At 48.0% G+C, this 17,711-nt stretch overlaps 1 protein-coding gene across 3 annotated transcripts, besides 1 other annotated feature; it reads right to left on the bottom strand.

Annotated features, from left to right (window-relative positions):
- Positions 3,585-13,394, bottom strand: PSMD2 (proteasome 26S subunit ubiquitin receptor, non-ATPase 2). Of its 3 annotated transcripts, NM_002808.5 has the most exons (21): positions 13,234-13,394; positions 12,728-12,784; positions 12,191-12,355; positions 10,977-11,098; positions 10,564-10,788; positions 10,107-10,265; positions 9,812-9,956; positions 9,573-9,633; positions 9,169-9,315; positions 8,886-8,992; positions 8,561-8,688; positions 8,244-8,331; positions 6,705-6,867; positions 6,480-6,581; positions 6,140-6,285; positions 5,801-5,884; positions 5,110-5,278; positions 4,927-5,021; positions 4,619-4,745; positions 4,068-4,186; positions 3,585-3,927 (listed from the first exon to the last, which is right to left on the bottom strand). In NM_002808.5, exons 1-21 carry the CDS (start codon positions 13,366-13,368, stop codon positions 3,745-3,747), a joined length of 2,727 nt encoding a protein of 908 aa, NP_002799.3. In that variant the 5' UTR covers positions 13,369-13,394; the 3' UTR covers positions 3,585-3,744. The 3 variants fall into 3 exon arrangements, with proteins under 3 accessions (NP_002799.3, NP_001265637.1, NP_001265638.1); NM_001278708.2 differs by lacking the exons at positions 12,191-12,355; positions 12,728-12,784; positions 13,234-13,394 and adding an exon at positions 11,950-12,054; NM_001278709.2 differs by lacking the exons at positions 12,191-12,355; positions 12,728-12,784; positions 13,234-13,394 and adding an exon at positions 11,950-12,054 and having other exon boundaries at positions 10,564-10,777.
- Positions 13,387-13,726: a silencer, noted in NCBI's record as "silent region_14959". NCBI's record gives its function as "represses an Ori minimal core promoter by ATAC-STARR-seq in GM12878 lymphoblastoid cells {active_cell/tissue: GM12878}" and the evidence as "EXISTENCE:reporter gene assay evidence [ECO:0000049][PMID:35858748]".

Below are 17,711 nucleotides of genomic sequence, written 5' to 3'. Positions count from 1 at the left end.
AAGAGCAGACACTCCCACGGAGGGGCAAAAGCGTAAGGATGGAAGAATAAGGACAGAAGAGAAGTAATCTTAAAACTGACAGCCGGTCGGGGGCGGTGGCTCACGCCTGTAATCCCAGTATTTTGGGAGGCTGAGGCAGGCGGATCACCTGAGATCGGGAGTTTGAGACCAGCCTGACCAACATAGAGAAACCCCGTCTCTACTAAAAATATACAAAAATTAGCCAGGCATGGTTGCGCATGCCTATAATCGCAGCTACTCAGGAGGCTGAGGCAGGAGAATTGCTTGAACCCGGGAGGTGGAGCTTGCGGTGAGCTGAGATCCTGCCATTGCACTCCAGCCTGGGCAACATGAGCGAAACTCCGTCTCAAAAAAAAAAAGAAAAAGCTGACAGAGGCCAGAAGGGACCATCATCTACAGCCAAATCCACAGGTCAGATTGCTTGAGTTTTCATCCAAACTCTGATACTTATTACCTGGCCAGAATTTGTTAACTTTCCCTACTCAATCAAGTCCCCCAAATATATTGTTGCTTACGTAATAGATAGTGCCTAACCTGAAAATCTGGGATTCATCCTATATTCCTTCTCCATCCACACACTACATCTAATCAGACACCAGGTCTTACTGGTATTTGGATCAAAATCAAGTCCTATTGATCTTATCTTTTAAAAAATAACTATTCTACCCTTCCCTATGTCCCCATTTCAACTGCCTTAGTTCAAGCATTCATTTTCCTTGCCTGCTCTCCTGTCCTCCAGGGTTAGCTTTCTCACCCAGATAGCTGATCATGTCACTTTTCTGCTCTCATTCAGTGGGCCCCATTGAAAGATACTGTCAAATTCTTAGCACAACAAAGCTCTTGTAAACCTAGTCTGAGCCTGAATTTCCAGCTGTATCTCCTACCACCCTTTTCCCTGGCCCCTATACATTTAGCCAAACCAAATTATCTGTAAGTTTCTGAAAACAGCTTTTCCTCCTTCTTGCCTTTGCTACTCCCTTAGCTATATTCTGCCCTCTTTTCCTCTGTACAAACTTATCTTCCTCTAAGGATATAAGCTTCCTCAAAGTCCCCCGATTGCCCCAGGCACTTAGGCCCCATCTCAGTGATACCAGGGTACCTTGTTCACACCCTGGTAAGTATCGATCACAGTTGTTTTCATCATTTCATTAAACTTTTTGAGCATAGGGGTTTTTTTCTGTATTTGCATCCCCATAAATTAGACGAATGTCTGATGCAGAGTAAGGCTCCACTGCTATTCACTGATGAATGAAGAACTAAAGGTGAAAGGTTAAAAGCCACTATGAAACTGTCTTATTCTAAAGCACAATCACCTAAATCACAATTTGGGAGAGAATCATTCTTTTTAGTTTACAAATCACTTTTTATTCTAACATCACCACCACTGGAAATCAGGTAAGGCAACTACTATATCCACATTATATAATAACAGAGGCTCATCACATCACACATGCTAACTTGAAGATTATGGCAGGAACCATAAAGGGGCTCAACAGGGATTCCTTAATCCTGTTTCAACCTTTTTATACAGGCTGCCAAGATGACTCAATCCAAAATTGCTGATGTCTCATGCCTGTAATCCCAGCTACCTGAGAGGCTGATGTGGGAGAATCACTTAAGCCTAGAAGTTCAAGGCTGCAGTGAGCCATGATCATGCCACTGCACTCCAGCCTGGGCCACAAAGTGAGACTTTGTCTCTAAAAAAATTTAGTAATAAAATAACTGGGCCAGGTGTGGTGGCTTACACCTGTAATCCCAGCACTTTGGGAGGCCGAGGCAGGTGGATCACAAGGTCAGATCGAGACCATCCTGGCCAACATGGTGAAACCCCGTCTCTACTAAAAATACAAAAATTAGCAGAGCATGGTGGCGCATGCCTGTAGTCCCAGCTACTCAGGAGGCTGAGGCAGACAGTCTCTTGAACCCCAGACGCAGAGTGAGCCGAGATCACGCCACTGCACTCCAGCCTGGGCAACAGAGCACGACTCTGTCTCAAAATAAATAAATAAATAAATAGCCAGGCATACTGGCTCATGCCTGTGATCCCAGCACTTTGGGAGCTGAGGTGGAAGGATCCCTTGAGGCCAAGAGATTGAGACCAGCGTGGGCAACACAGCAAAACCCCCACCTCCACAAAAATAAAAGTAGGCCAGCTGTGGTGGGTCATGCCTATAGTCCTAGTTACTACTTGGGAGGCTGAGTCAGGAGGATCACTTGAGTCCAGGAGTTTGAGGCTACAGTGAGCTATGACTGTGCCACTGCACTCCAGACTGAGTGATAAGAGTGAGACCATTTCAAAAAAAAAAAAAAAAAGCCAGAAGTGGTGGTACACACCTGTAGCCCTACCTTACCTGCTTGGGAGGCTGAGGGTCAAGCCTTCTTGAATCCACTTTCTACAAGGACATCCTAGAAGTAGATGTTAACATGATCAAATTCCTCATAGCAGCCTCCCAAGAGGGACAGATGGTTGCGGGAGGTAAAGATGTCCTTTTCATTCAGTAGCACGTAAGTCAAGTTAGAAAAGTATGAGGCTGCCCACTCTTGGGCATCCTTAGCCCAAGGTCAGAAGATGATAGGCTTGAAGAGGGTGTATTGGTGGTGGAGGGTGAGTGTGGGGGGTTATTTACAGGATCCACAAGCCCCCTGAAGTTATTTGGAAGAGTTTGTGTAAAAATTTGTGTATTTGCGTCTCCTAGGAAGAATATCCATTGGCTGGGCACGGTGGCTCACACCTGTAATCCCAGCACTTTGGGAGGCCGAGGCAGGTGGATCATCTGAGGTCAGGAGTTCGAGACCATCCTGGCCAACATGGTGAAACCCCGTCTATTAAAAATACAAAAATTTGCCGGGTGCGGTGGCTCACGCCTATAATCCCAGCACTTTGGGAGGTTGAGGCAGGCGGATCACAAGGTCAGGAGATCGAGACCATCCTGGCTAACATGGTGAAACCCCGTCTCTACTAAAAATATGAAAAATTAGCCAGGCGTGGTGGCAGGTGCCTGTAATCCCAGCTACTCGGGAGGCTGAGGTAGGAGAATGGCGTGAACCCGGGAGGTGGAGCTTGCAGTGAGCCAAGATCGCACCACTGCACTCCAGCCTGGATGACACAGCGAGACTCCATCTCAAAAAAACAAAAACAAAAAACAAAAATTAGCCGGGCGTGGTGGCAGGCACCTGTAGTCCCAGCTACTTGGGAGGCTGAGGCAGGAGAATGGCGTGAACCCGGAAGGCAGGCGTTGCAGTGAGCCGAGACTGCCTCACTGCACTCCAGCCTGGGGGAGACAGCAAGACTCTGTCTCAAACAAAACAAAACAAAACAAAAAGAAGATCCATTACATTTATTGGCTTCTCAAGGGTTCTAAGAAAATGCAAAGAGAAGATGATTAGAAAGGAGGGGCTTAGTTTTTTCCACCCAGGGGAGGGAAGGGGCTCAGTTCTTTCCATCCAGGGCAGTGCTGCTAACCTAAACTCAGCGTTGCTCCTAACAATGCCCTCTCACTTCCACTCCTTACTCTAGTTTAGACTCCAGCCATGACACCCCAGAAAACAGACACAGAGAGACCTTGGGGATAAAAGTCTTTATTGAACAACCTTATCTCACTCAGTAACAAAAGAGCAGGAGGCGACAATTCCCCCAGAAGTCTGCAGCCGTGTCCACCCTTGGCAGCAGGATGCATGGCCTGCTGATAACATCAGCTGCAGTTCAGAGCCCCTGGTGGTCACTTAGAGATCATAATTGGGGTTCTTCCGAAGGATAACAAAACCTTCCAGAATGGGGGTAACAGGAAGAAACTCCTCAGTGGCCAATTCTGCCCGTTCCCCGTGGGCCAACAACACTGGGGTTGTATGCGTCTGGAACCCTGTGATAGTCTTCGGCTTGCCAGCCTGGCCCACCACATCCACTGCCTGTAGGGTAAGAAAATTGAAAAGAGAGATGGAAAAGTAGCGACAAGCCACCGCCCACGCCAGTTTCAGCAAAGCAAGTATATGTACATTCTCCAGTTTGAGAATACAGCCTGAGCCCTCCCCTCTACTCAGCCTCTCACCTGGCCCACACGGACAGACACTGGCAATGGCCGCAGCTCCTCATCAAACGTAACCAGCATTCGGGGCTGCATGGCAGCCACCAGCCCATACAATACATAGTGTGATTTGCCTAGAATAACTGAGGGAAGCAGACAGGACAAAAAGTTAAGAGACAAAAAGACAGGCCTGGCCAGAAACATTGAGAGCCCACCTCAGCGCTGACCCTTTAACCCGTCAGTCATACGACTGAATCCACACTCCTCCCCTCATACACCCTACTACGAACCAGAGACGCCCCCACCTCACTTTGCTTACAGCCCTTAGACTTGAAAATCGCATTTCCCCAGTGACTTAGGAGCAGACGCTGGGCACATCACCCTCAAATCTCTTTGGGCCAGATCAAAAGTGTGGGTGATGAAAGTCTCATGTCACAGGCCCAAAGCCTGTCTCAGAAACCTAGAGCGATACAGAGCTAAACTGGGGTCTTGAACCTAAATTATCAAAGTGGCCCTGGAAAGGGTGGAGTCAGAGCCCTGCATGCTATGATATAAAATTTCTGACAGGAACTCACTGTTTCGAACATCCAGGAAAGAGACAAGCACAGTGAGCAGTCCAGCCACGGCCACCTGGCTCATAAGCTGCCGGTCGCTGTGGTAGGGGCAGAGGGTAAGGGTGCCCTTCCCTAAATGTGTCAGGCCCTGAAAAAAACAGAGGGAAGTAGAGGTGAGGAGTTACCACTGAGGAGACATCGCCTAACCCAGCCAAACAGAAATCTCCCACTTGGTCACATCTTTCCTCCTGGGCCAACACTCCATGTTCCTCCTTCCATCACCACAGATACTTCCCCGGCACGCTCTGTGGAGGAGTTCTATTCTTTACCTGTGCCAAGCGCACCATGAAGAGGTTGTTTGGGTCCTTGGCATGATATTGAGCTAACTGGCGCAGCATTGCAGCCAGACGGGCATTATTGGTACCTGGAAATGTTAAGCATTACAGAAGTGAAAAAAGGGGCTTCAAATCTTCCCCCAATCTGTTTATGACCTTCTTCTGCCGGATACTCACCACTGCCCACCATGCCCATGGCAAAAATGGAGTTATAGGAAACTTCTGGATCAGCATCATGAGAGAATTTGCTTAGGGTATCCAGGATGTTGAGTCGTGGATTTGAAACAGAGATGAGGGCCAGTGCTAAAGGTACAGCCCTCCGGAGTGTAGGCTCCCCATATCTCAGCTGATGATCCAAGAAAATACAACAGTAAGGCGGAATGCAGTAAAAACAAATTCCATTACAGGAGTGGACTGATGGGTAAAAGGGGGCCTTAACTTCTGTAGAAAAGGCACAGCAGGCTGGGCATGGTGGCTCATGCCTGTAATCCCAGCACTTTGGGAGGCCGAGGCAGGTGGATCATGAGGTCAAGAGATAGAGACCATCCTAGCCAACATGGTAAAACCCTGTCTCTACTAAAAATACAAAAATTAGCTGGGCATGGTGGCATGTGCCTGTAGTCCCAGCTACTTGTGAGGCTGAGGCAGGAGAATCACCTGAACCCGGGAGGCAGAGGTTGCAGTGGGCCAAGACCGTGCCATTGCACTCTAGAGCAAAACTCCGCTTCAAAAAAGAAAAGAAAAAAGAAAGAAAAGGCACAGCAAAAAGACCAGCTCTCCACCAAGAAAACCCATCAGAAAAATCTTCCCTGGGGAACCCCAGGCCATCAAAACCAGTATATTCCAATTTTCTTCATGCTATACTCACCAAGTGGCCAAAGGTTCGTAATGCCATCTCTGCACCAATCTCCTCCCCCATAGCAATAAGGGCAATCCCCAGAACAGCCACTCCCTGCAATTGAAGAGAGAGCAGAACCCATTAAGCTCAAGGAATAAAAAACAGTCACCCTTGACTCAAGTCCCATCTGAAAATAAAAAGCCATCCTGTGGGGAACACCTTTACCCCTTACATACAGAACCCAGTCACACGCTATTTCAATACATGGCAATACCCAGAGAGGCCCTAAAGCAAAAACCAAACCCAGCCTCCCCTATATGCTTATCTCTTCTCACAGCCTCTCTGCAAGTGCCCAGCTGCCCATATAACCTGATGTGCTCCCATGTCAGCAGGGGCTTCCTTCTTGTCCTTGTCTTTCTTTTCCTTCTTGTCTTTGTCTTCCTCCTTCTCTTTGGAGTCAAAGTGTTCGCTACAAATGTGGAGCAGCTGCTGCACCTTCAGCACATTCCCAGAGCCTGCGTCAGGGTGGTGAGGGAGAATGGACAGAAATGAGAAGTTACCAAGGAAAAGCTTTGGAAAACAGGAGAAGTCTAAAGAATCTAGAGCAGATCAGAATGAAGGAGAAAGGAGAAACAACCTGAAAATAAGGACCAAGAAAGAAGTGAGGAGTCACTGGGGAAGCACAAGACAGACTCATAAAGACACAGACCTGCATATGCACACACATCCACCAGTGTGTTGGCAAAACTGCGGAATGGCTCTGACACAACCTCCAGTGCAGCCAGGATTGCCTCGATGGCCTCACCCTTCCCTACAGGACAGATTCAAGGGGTCAGAGGATACTTGCCTCCATCCAGCACAGCCTGACACATAAACCCTCCCTGTTGTATCCAGTTACTGTCAGCTCTTTGCCCAAATAGAAACATCCCCTCACCCAGGTGGTTGAGACCCAGTCCAAGAGGAAGCCAACGAGCATAAGTATCCTTGAGCTCAGTCTCTGACTTCTCCATGATGGTCTGAAGGATAGTGGAAGTTACATCTCCATTGCAGGACCCTACTGCTATCATTCCACAGGCTAAAGCTGTGACACCTGCCACCTAGAGGTAGGAAAATCAGTATTACACAGAGTAAGTTATTAAAATATTTATGTCTTGATTCAAGATAGCCTATTCCTACAGTCCACTGCAAGATATTCTCCCTAATAACATTAGTTCATAATATCAAAATAACAATAGTAGTCATTATTCATTGAGTATATACTATATGCCAGCCACTAGGCCAACTGTTTTACATACTATTGACATTTAACCCTTGTGACAGCCCCAAGGTCACAGATCCTGAGGTTATCCCCTGCACTGCTTTTTTTTTTTTTTTTTTGAGACAGAGTCTCGCTCTATCGCTAGGCTGGAGTGCAGTGTCGCGATTTTGGCTCACCGCAACCTCCACCTCCTGGGTTCGAGCGATTCTCCTGCCTCAGCCTCCCAAGTAGCTGGGACTATAGGTGCGCGCCACCACGCCCAGCTAATTTTTGTATTTTTAATAGAGACAGGGTTTCACCATCTTGGCCAGGATGGTCTTGATCTCTTGACCTTATGATCCACCCACCTCGGCCTCCCAAAGTGCTGGGATTACAGGCATGAGTGCCTGGCTGTTATCCCCTTTTATGGATGAGAAAAATACGGCCTAAAGAGATTGAATTACTTGTTCAGGATCACACTGCTTATAAGCAGAGGTGGCAAGATTTGAACTCAAGTCTTTCTGACTCTAAATCTATGCCACTAGCCACCATGCTGTATTTATCCATTAATGACTCTGCACAAGTATGAACATTTAAGGCTGACCAATGACTACAATACTAAGGAGAATCATCAACCCCAGGCTGTGTTAAGTTACACTTCACTCTAGTCCAAGTAGTTTCTCAGAGATTCCAAGGGACAGAACTCAACACTAAAATGTTAATTTTTTTTTTCTTTTAAAGACAGGGTCTCACTCTGTAACCCAGACTGGAGTGCAGTGGCGCGATCTCAGCTCACTGCAACCTCCACCTCTGGGTTCAAGCAATTCTCCCACCTCAGCTTCCCTAGTAGCTGGCACTACAGGCGAGCACCACCACACCCGGCTAATTTTTCTGTTTATTTTTTGGTAGAAATGGGGTTTCACAATCTTGCCCAGGTTGGTCTCGAACTCCTGGGCTCAAGTGATCCGCCCACTGCAGCCTCCCAAAGTGCTGGGATTATAGGCACGAGCCACCGTGCCAGGCCTAAAATGTTAACTCTTTAGCCTTAAAACCACCAGAGGCTTAGAATCCCAGATCAAGGGGTTTCACTGAGGTGACGCCCCTCAATACACACCAACAGGCATGTACATGTATGCACACATGCACACACTTACTTCTTTTTCATTATTTATCACAGAAAGTAAGACTCAAAGCACCTTCCCTACTTACTCTAAATGCTCAATAGCCTCTACTCACCTCCATGCTGGACTTTGAATCTCCCATCACAGGCAGCAGCAGTGTTAGGACATCTTCACGATTTGAGCCAGCATAAGCCAAGCCTAGCCTGCAAAAGCCATGGAAAGGCGGTCCCCAACACATACCCAACGATGCAGCAAGAAAAGAACAAAAGGAGAATCGGTCATTCATTCACCATTTCAACAAACATTCACCAAGAGCCAGATACCCAATAGGCACAGTGGTAGCCCTTGGCAATATGGGTGAAAAGGGCCCAGTTCCTGTTCTCCAGAGTGTACAGGCTGAGCACTACCAGAAAGACAAGCGAGGAACCTTACCCAAAGATGGAACCAAGTCTCATGGTGTTGCTGTTGTGGAGAACATAGTCTGAGAGCAGTGCCAGAGCAGGGTCACACTCATTCCGGACCCCAGAGTTCACTATGCCACAGGCAAGAAGAGCTCCTGACTACAAAGAGCAAACAGATTCTTCACTCAGGATACTCTATCTTCCTCACCGCAAAGGATGCAACATGGGCCTCACTGCAGCACCCTTATTAACTAGAGTTAAAAACTGGGCAGACCTCATCAGTGAAAGAGAGGCACTGCTAGGCACTAGAATATGGAACGGGGAAGTCCCCATGAGCAGGCTGTATGCAGACCAACCTTAATGTAGTCCTCAGAGGAGTACAGGTACTTGTCAATCTGGGTGAGGCCACCATCCACATCCCACAGCAGAATCATCCCAAGAGATGCAGCTGCACTCAACATTCCTATACCAGGGAAGAATCTATTAGTCTTAAAATGGCCCTATCCTGAGGATCCTGTTATTATAAAGAGCTCTCCAAAGAACTGCATGGTGGATCCCTTGTCAGATAACTTATGACTCCAAGAGGACAAAAGAAGTGATCAAAGCAAAACAAAAGACAAAGCAGGAACAGAATTATACCGTGGTCCTTGTTCTTGTAAAGCCATTTGTTGCCATCATCTGTTAGCAGCTTGTCTTGGCCAAAAGCTGCATTCACAAAGCCATTCACAAAAGAGGAGGCCAGGTTCATGCGGGCAGAGTCCACCTGAGAGCCACTGCCCCCAAACCCTGCAACAGGAGGGAGAGGAAAAGTAAGGAAAGAAGGTTTCAGGTAGGACAGGAAAGAAACACAGCATGGCAACTGGTCTCTGGTTCTGAGCTAGTCCCTTAGTATCCTCTACCTATACCCCCCCAAGCAGTGACCTGAAAAAGATTCATGAGGATTCTGAGCTCGATAGGATAAGCATGTTGGCCAAGCCATCACTCCCAATACAAGGGGCATACCTACAATCCCCCAAATCCCATACACAGAGAGGGCTACTCACTGTTGTTCTCTAGGTGGGTTTTGTAGATGTCATCAGGCACCTTGGGCTCCATGATGTCCAGCTGAAGAGAAGTCAGAGGGTCACAATTGCTTCCCTAGAACTCCCCCAGCTGTCCCTTCTGCTATCCCACTGAATGGCAATTCTAATCAAGGAGAGTCTAGTCAGAGGTAGAGTCAGGGAGGTGAAATGGCAGGTAGAATTATGACGAAAAGGCCTTGATGAAAAAAGGGCAGTCTCACCTCCCGAGCTAAGGCCAAGAAGTTGCTGTTGAGCTGTACATTGGACATGATCTCTGTCAGGTCCTCATACTCCTCGACATCTTCACTCAGCTCCAGGAACACCCCATGCCGGCCTAGCATGAATGCCATCTGTTTCTGTACTACCCTGTGGAGAGAGCCCGTACATCTGCTCATCACTGTCCACTAAGGGCACAGGAAAACCCCTCAAGCCCTAACCAGAAACTACAAGTCCCAGCTCTTTATGCAAGTGTCCTATTCGTAAGCTTATCTCTTTGCCAGCTTCTTCCCTACATACACATCCTTGCAGGAGGTGAAGATGTCTTCTACCAACTCCATGTCATTGAGCATCAATGCCAATCTCAGAGCTTCAGGGAAGCGGCTAAACTTTCGGAACACACCCAGGGCACAACGCAGTAGGGCTGAGTTCTCAGGCTCAGGCACGTAATTCACACAACTACAAAAGTAAAAGTAACAAAGAATTCAGAAAGTCCCAGGCACTCATTTTCCCCATGAATTCACTTACCCAAAATAAATAATAAATATCTACTATATACACCAGGCACTGTGCTAGATGTTAGAACTACTAAGAAGACACAAAGTCTCTGTCCTCAAGAAACTCACACACATCAAAAGATTAACTACAGCGTGATGCTATGCTTGAGCAAATGCTCTGGGAAAATAGAGGAGGCGCAATTGAGAGAGAGGTGCTGAGGAGGGCATGCCTGCCACCCTTCCCTACCATGTTCACTCACCTGGTGAGATAAAGGCAGACCTTTGCATATGCATTTTCATCAATGTCCTTCTCCAGCATGTCCACCTGCTCAATTTCCATAAGCAGGTCGCAAGCCTCATGCTCTGCATTGTGGGCCATGTTATAGGGGACGATTTCCTTCACCAGAGTGAGCAGAGGCTCCCGCTGGACCTTCTCTGCGTCATCCAGCTCCTGCCACTCCTTAGCCACTTCTCCTGCCAGATGCCTACAGATAGTCCCAGACGATTAAGAGAGCACAGCTTCAGGGGAAGCACTTCTCTGTGGGTCAAGGAATCCAGCGTCTGGGAAATTCAATACACTGATGCTCCAAGACAGATTGTACTCCACAAGAAAATTCTGAATTATCTCAGAGCCTCAGAGCCCCCTTCGGATTCCCAAGAAGAAAGATCTTACCTGACATACTCATGACCCCATGATGCCAATTCCTCCTGGGAGCCCACTAGCCGATACTTGAGGCACTCACGCTCCCCACTCATGGTCATGGCCAAAACGGAGATGATGTCAGCAGCAAAACGCTATAAAGAAAAGAGTTCTTTGAAGTCAAACCCAGCAGTCCAGCATAAAGGGAGCATGCATTGTGGAATCAAGATCATTGTCTCCGAAACTGAACTAACTACATACCAATCTCTGTACTAGAAATTTAACATGTTATGTAAGCTAAACCTCACAAAAACCAAGGTTGGTGTTGTTGCTATCTCCTTTTTTTTTTTTTTTTGAGACTCAGTTTCGCTCTTGCTGCCCAGGCTGGAGTGCAATGGTGTGCTCTCGGTTCACTGCAACCTCTGCCTCCGGGGTTCAAGTGATTCTCCTGCCTCAGCTTCCTAAGTAGCTGGGATTACAGGCGCCCACCACCACACCCAGCTAATTTTTTTTTTTTTAATTTTTAGTAGAGACGGGGTTTCACCATGTTGGCCAGGATGGTCTAAAACTCCTGACCTCAGGTGATCCACCCCTCGGCCTCCCAAAGTGCTAGGGTTACAGGTGTGAGCCACCACACCCAGCCACTGTCTTCCTTTTAAACTAACACAGCTGAAGGGTGATAAATGAGGGATAAAGTGGAAAAAAATGGAGGCTCTCAATTTTACTTTAATTGCAATTATAAACTATTAAAAGGTCTTAAGCAGAAAAGACCTATAACCGAGAAAGATCACGATAGCTGCTACATGAGAGACAGACTGTGTAGGAACAAAGCACAAAAGCAACAACATCAGTTAAGAGGTGCTGCAATAACCCATGCAAAAACTGAACATTTCCAGGATTAGGGTTGTACCAGCAGGCAGAGAAGTGACTGAATGTGGAACATATTTTAGAGATAAATGAATGTATATGGGATAGAAGAAAAGAGAAAAATCAAGGTTAAACATACGTTAAAAGTAGACCATGCTAATGAAACCCCAAAGTCCAATACACATGACAGAAACAGTGTCTTCTGAGAAGCTGACCTTCCTTTCAGCTCTTCTGTAGATATTTTGACTGTGATGAACTCTGCTCAAATAGATCACGGCTTAGGTCTATCAGGCTTCCTGTGACTCACAATGAGTCCCCCCATGATCTGGGTAAAAAGGAATTCCTAAACTAGGCCTCCACCAGGTTTGAAACAGTTTTACCTTATTCTCCCCAGGGGCCATGTTCTCATAGATTTCCTTCAGTTTGCCATAGTGTGGACGCAGAAATTTGAGAGGCTTGGGCACTGAAGTCATGGAAGTTGTAGAAGAACGAATCTGCCTTCGCAATTCCTCCAGCGCTGGTCGATACAGGGATGTATCCTTCTCCTGATCAAGAGACGACAGGGCTCAGACAAAAAGGAGTCACACCCCTTCAAGTCATAATACAGAGATATTTAACTTAACAACTCCTCCAAGGAAATGCTGTGTCTTATTCATTCATCTGTGATTCCTCAACTCCCTGCACCCTGCCTGGCACAAAAACAAATGACCCAAGTTAAGAGGTAAGAACTCTGCTTCTCCCACAAGAGAAAGCTGCAAAACTGTACAAATACCCTTTGTAACTCTCCTGCCTCCCAACATCATCATAACACTGACCCTAAAATACAGTCCACCGTACATAGCAGTTGCCTCAAAAAAGAATAAAACAAGTGGGAAAGATCCAAACATGCACCGAATCATGTTAACATCGTGACTCACCCCTAGTCGTTCCACGAGCATCTCCAGTTCATCTTGAAGCTGTTTATCCTCTTCAGACTGGAGGGTTGGGAGAAGCAGCTCATGAAGAGAAGGAATCCCAAAGACGTCCTCCTCCCACTTACCCGGGGCAGGTGAAGAATAAGCCTGCCTCCTTAGGAGGGGCCAGGTGGACAAGGAAACCGAGTGGGAATGGGAAGCCCTGGTGAGAAATCAGCCTGGGTTCTGAATCAGGCTCTACTTGAATGCCACTCTAGGAAACGGAGGTGACAATGACCTGCCCGAGTCCACTTCACGCGGCGGTGGTGAGGGTTGGTGGGGACGGCGGAGGTGACAGCGCGGAACGGAGAATGAGGAGCAGAGAGGCAAGGTGCCGGGAGTCCCGAGGGTCGCCCCAACCGCCCTCTCCCTGGCGCGGTGGGGTAGTTGGGTGTCGGGCCTGAGGCCTGCGGAGCCGCCGTGACTCAGCCCCGCAGCCTCCTTCGCCGACTCTCGGGGTCGCGCCTCACCAGCTCCTGTTCTTTGTCCTTGTCCCCGGCATCCCGCCGCTCCTTGCCGCTCGGCTTCTCGTCCGTGCCGCCGGGGGCCGCCGCTGGAGACTGCTGGGGCTGCACCGGCGCCTTGTCCCGGCCTCCCTCCTCCATCTCCGCCGCCACTGCCGGCCCGCTGCGCGCGCACCCGCTCGCACCGCCCTTTTTCCCAGACCAACTCGCGCGCGTCGGTCGCGGCGCCCCTCCTCCTCCAGAGCCCGCCTGCGACCGGAAACGCCGGGGCGAGCCGGGGCGCTCGGCGACCCACCCACCCCCTCGGCCTGAGAGCCCCGCCCTCGGACCCCGCCCTCGGAGGCAGGTGGAGACTACAATTCCCAGCCTCCCCCGCGCCATAGTCGCCCCTGGCCCCCGACCTCTTCGGAGTTTCCTGAAACCCGCGGGACTTGGCCGTGTGGGGTTTGGGTTCGCTCACTGCTGTAGATGGGCGGTCTGCGAGCGGAGTTACCGAGTTTTACTCCGCCACAGGTTTTTCTCATAACGGTGTAAATAGAACCCACAGTGACACTCCAGTTGACTGCGTGGCGCGACAGACAAACTAGATTTCTTGACGTCCAGGACGCTTGATTGCCGCCTGTATAAAGTCTGTGTAACTGTGTCTAGCCCCACACCACTGTGGAATATTAACCTCATTTGGTTTTGTTGTTGTTGTTGCTTTTGAGAAGGAGGCTCGCTCTCTCGCCCAGGCTGGAGTGCAGTGGCGCGATCTCGGCTCACTGCAAACTCCGCCTACCAGGTTCAAGTGATTCTCGTGCCTCAACCTCCCGAGTAGCTGGGATTACAGGCGCCCGCCACCACGCCCAGCTAATTTTTGTATTTTTTAGTAGAGACGGGGGTTTCACTATGTTGGCCAGGCTGGTCTCGAACTCCTGACCTCAAGTGATCTGCCCGCCTCAGCCTCCCAAAGAGCTGTAATTACAGGTGTGAACCACCGCGCCCGGCCTATTAACCTCATTTGATATTCCTCCCCAGTTGAAAGAGAGTACTCTGCTATTCCCGTGGCTACCATTTTAAATACTTTGGGGAGCCAGGTGGAGTTGACATCGATCAATAAAGCCCTGTGCTCCCCGCCAAGTTCTGGAGCTAAAAGCAGAACAAGACAAGGTCTTCGTCCTCTATCTTCTCGTCTTTCCCTGTGAAGCCTTAGAGGCGTGTGACTGACGCGCTTATGTCAGGACTGCTTTCGAGTGATTCCATGCACTTCTTACAATCTTTTGAGATTGGTAGGGTTAGGTCCATTTTACAGAGAAGATCATATCAAGTAGTAAAATGAGGATTTATTTTTTATTTTATTTATTTGTTTTGAGATAGTGTTTCTCTCCTGTTGCCCAGGCTGGAGTGCAATGGCGCAATCTCGGCTCACCACAACCTTCGCCTCCCGGGTGCAAGTGATTCTCCTGCCTCAGCCTCCCGAGTAGCTGGATAAAGAGGAGTTTTAGAAAAAAATCCCTCTACAGATGACTGAAGAAAGCATGAAAATGTATGGACACCGTGAAGCCAGAGATAGAATAGGCAGAACAGTTATGGACTGTTGAATTTTTGTGCCACCACGCCCGGCTAATTTTTGTATTTTTAGTAGAGACGGGGTTTCTCCATGTTGGTCAGGCTGGTCTCCAACTCCCGACCTCAGGTGATCCGCCCGCCTCGGCCTCCCAAAGTTCTGGGATTACAAGCGTGAGCCACCGCGCCCGGCGGAATCAAAATTTAAAGCTCAGTCTTTCAGTCTTCAAAGCCCTTGACTGTTTTAGGCAAACCCCAGAGTTTCTTCTTCAGCTGTGTGTGTGTGTGTGTGCGTGTAAGGTGAGAAAAAAGGAAGTATCTCTTCTCCCTTTCACCTAGTGGGAACACTCAGGAGTCTTCTAGCAATCTTATTTTATGGGTTCTGACACATTGAAGAAAAAGACACCTAGTACAACATATCACAGAGTGAATGTTGGGTAAATGTTTGTGTAGATACGGAAGTAAAGGTCTGAATCCATTTTAAATACCTGTTGCTCTTTTCCACTCAGTGCTTGGATTCTAGGCATGACCTTCCATTGCCATTGCCAATGACTCCCCCAGCGCTGGTCTGCAGACAAAAATTCAACAGTCCATAACTGTTCTGCCTATTCTATCTCTGGCTTCACGGTGTCCATACATTTTCATGCTTTCTTCAGTCATCTGTAGAGGGATTTTTTTCTAAAACTCCTCTTTATCCATGACTTCCTTCTTCTTTTTTTTTTTTTTTTCCAGACGGAGTCTCGCTCTGTCGTCCAGGCTGGAGTGCAGTGGCATGATCTCAGCTTGCTGCAACCTCTGCCTCCCGGGTTCAGGTGATTTTCCTGCTTCAGCCTCCCAAGTAACTGGGACTACAGGCATGCACCACCACACCCCGCTAATGTTTGTATTTTTAGTCGAGACGGGGATTCACCATGTTGGCCAGGCTGGTCTTGAACTCCTGACCTCAAGTTATCTGCCTGCCTTGGCCTCCCAAAGTGCTGGAATTACAGGCATGAGCCACTGCGCCCGGCCTGGAACTGTGTCTTATTCATCTTTATGCTCCTAGCCTCCAGCCTAGCGCCTGGCTTGTAGTGAGCCTTGATAAATATTTGCAGAATGCATGCATGCGGAATGAATGAATGAATGAATGGCTTTGCATTCATCTTCAGGCCATCTTTGTGTATAATAACAACCCACTGGGAGCTGTCTTTGGAGGCCAGAACTAGGCACTGGAAAATCATGAGGTTTCTCCATTTGTAAATCATGATAGACCCACTAAAACTGCTTTTTTTTTTTTTTTTTTTTTTTTTTTTTTTTTTTTTGAGATGGAGTCTCCCACTGTCGCCCAGCCTGGAGTGTAGTGGCACGATCTCGGCTCACTGCAACCTCCGCCTCCCGGGTTCAAGCGATTCTCCTGCTGGTCTTGAACTCCTGACATAGTGATCCACCCACCTCAGCCTCCCGAAGTGCTGGGATTACAGGCATGAGCCACTGCGCCCAGCCTGCTTTTTTTAATTAAAAAAAAAAAATAGGACCTCCAATCCTGCAGAAAACTGTGCTTATTTTTATGAGGGACTCTCTTCCACCCGGACATTTCCAAAGTGCTATCAAGGGTGTGAAATCATACTTCTTGGCATATGTTAGCTTATTGTGGATGGGAATTAGTTAGACTTACCAATGGGACTGCATAAGGGATGGCCTAGCACTTTACCTATAATTGCTTCCCTGTGTCCACCGAGGAGCACCATCCCTTATTTCCCCTTCTGCCTGGACACACCAGAGCATATCACATACGCATACTCAGCCTGACAGGGCTACTAAGGGTAAAGGTTACATCTCTTACCTGATGTTCACCTTGGCTTGCCTCTGGAACCAAGCACCTGCAGAGTGTTCAACAAACAGGTGTTCCCTGGCTTGATTTCAGCTCAATGTGTGCTTAGGTTTCCTGAAGCTGTCTGGTTGTCACATGTGCCTTGCCCAGGGAATCTGGGTTGCATGGAAATGCACCTGCTGGTGATGGTCCCACTCAGAAGCATGATGAAATTGCCCAGAAGACAGATGTGTGTGTTTCAGTCTAAATTCTGTCGTGTTGGAAGACTAACTGATAGTGATTAAGGGCATCTGAGTTCCAAATCTAACTTTAATGCAATCTGTCTTGTCTGACATTGGAAGTTACGTGATCTTTTCCCTTAGTTTCTCCATTCGTAAAATAGAGACAATGATAGAACCTCCTTGCAAATCATTGTGTGCATTTAATGAGAAGGTATGTTTAAAGTGTTTAGCACAAGCTTAAGCAAAATAGTGACCCAGTAAATTAAGGCTAGCCATCATCATCATCATTTGACACTTTGACCTTTTTGCAATATGAGGTTTTAATAACCCACTGGCCAGCCTGTCAGAATCCTAAGCTGGCCTCTGAAATTAGGTGTCAGGGAAAGGGTAAGGCTTTATCTGCCAAGCCTGTCTCCTCAGTCATTATGCTGTCTGACATTATAAATCTCATCTGAATGTCACGAGTCACTTACTATCTCTTTGGGTTCCGGAATTTGCTAAGCCCATGGATTCACTTTTTAGAGCATTAAAGCAGAAATGCTCCTCAAAGATCGTCTCATCCAATTCACTTGTTTTACAGACTGCAGAAGATACTGAGACCTGAAGGCCTAATGTCACACAGCTCAAGGGTGGCAGAGCTGGAGGTAGACCAGGCCTGCAGATGTGATGGCCTCCTCTTTCCAATACACGCAGCCATTTACCCTGGAGTCATGCTCTTAGAGACTCAGGCTGTGCTTTCCCTGGGTCATGGAGTTCCTCAGGACACTTTTCTCCTTTCTGAGCAGTTGGCTACTTTCTTCCTTTTGTGGCCAGCCAGCACTTTGAGGTCACATGACAGAGATCCACATACAGCTCTTTATGGAAAGATTGTGGGACACATACTATTGCCATTCACCAAGGGGCCAAGG

This window comes from Homo sapiens, chromosome 3, assembly GCF_000001405.40.
Source record: "Homo sapiens chromosome 3, GRCh38.p14 Primary Assembly".
NCBI classification, from domain to species: Eukaryota; Metazoa; Chordata; class Mammalia; order Primates; family Hominidae; genus Homo; species Homo sapiens.
This window is presented reverse-complemented; position numbering and strand designations above follow the sequence as displayed.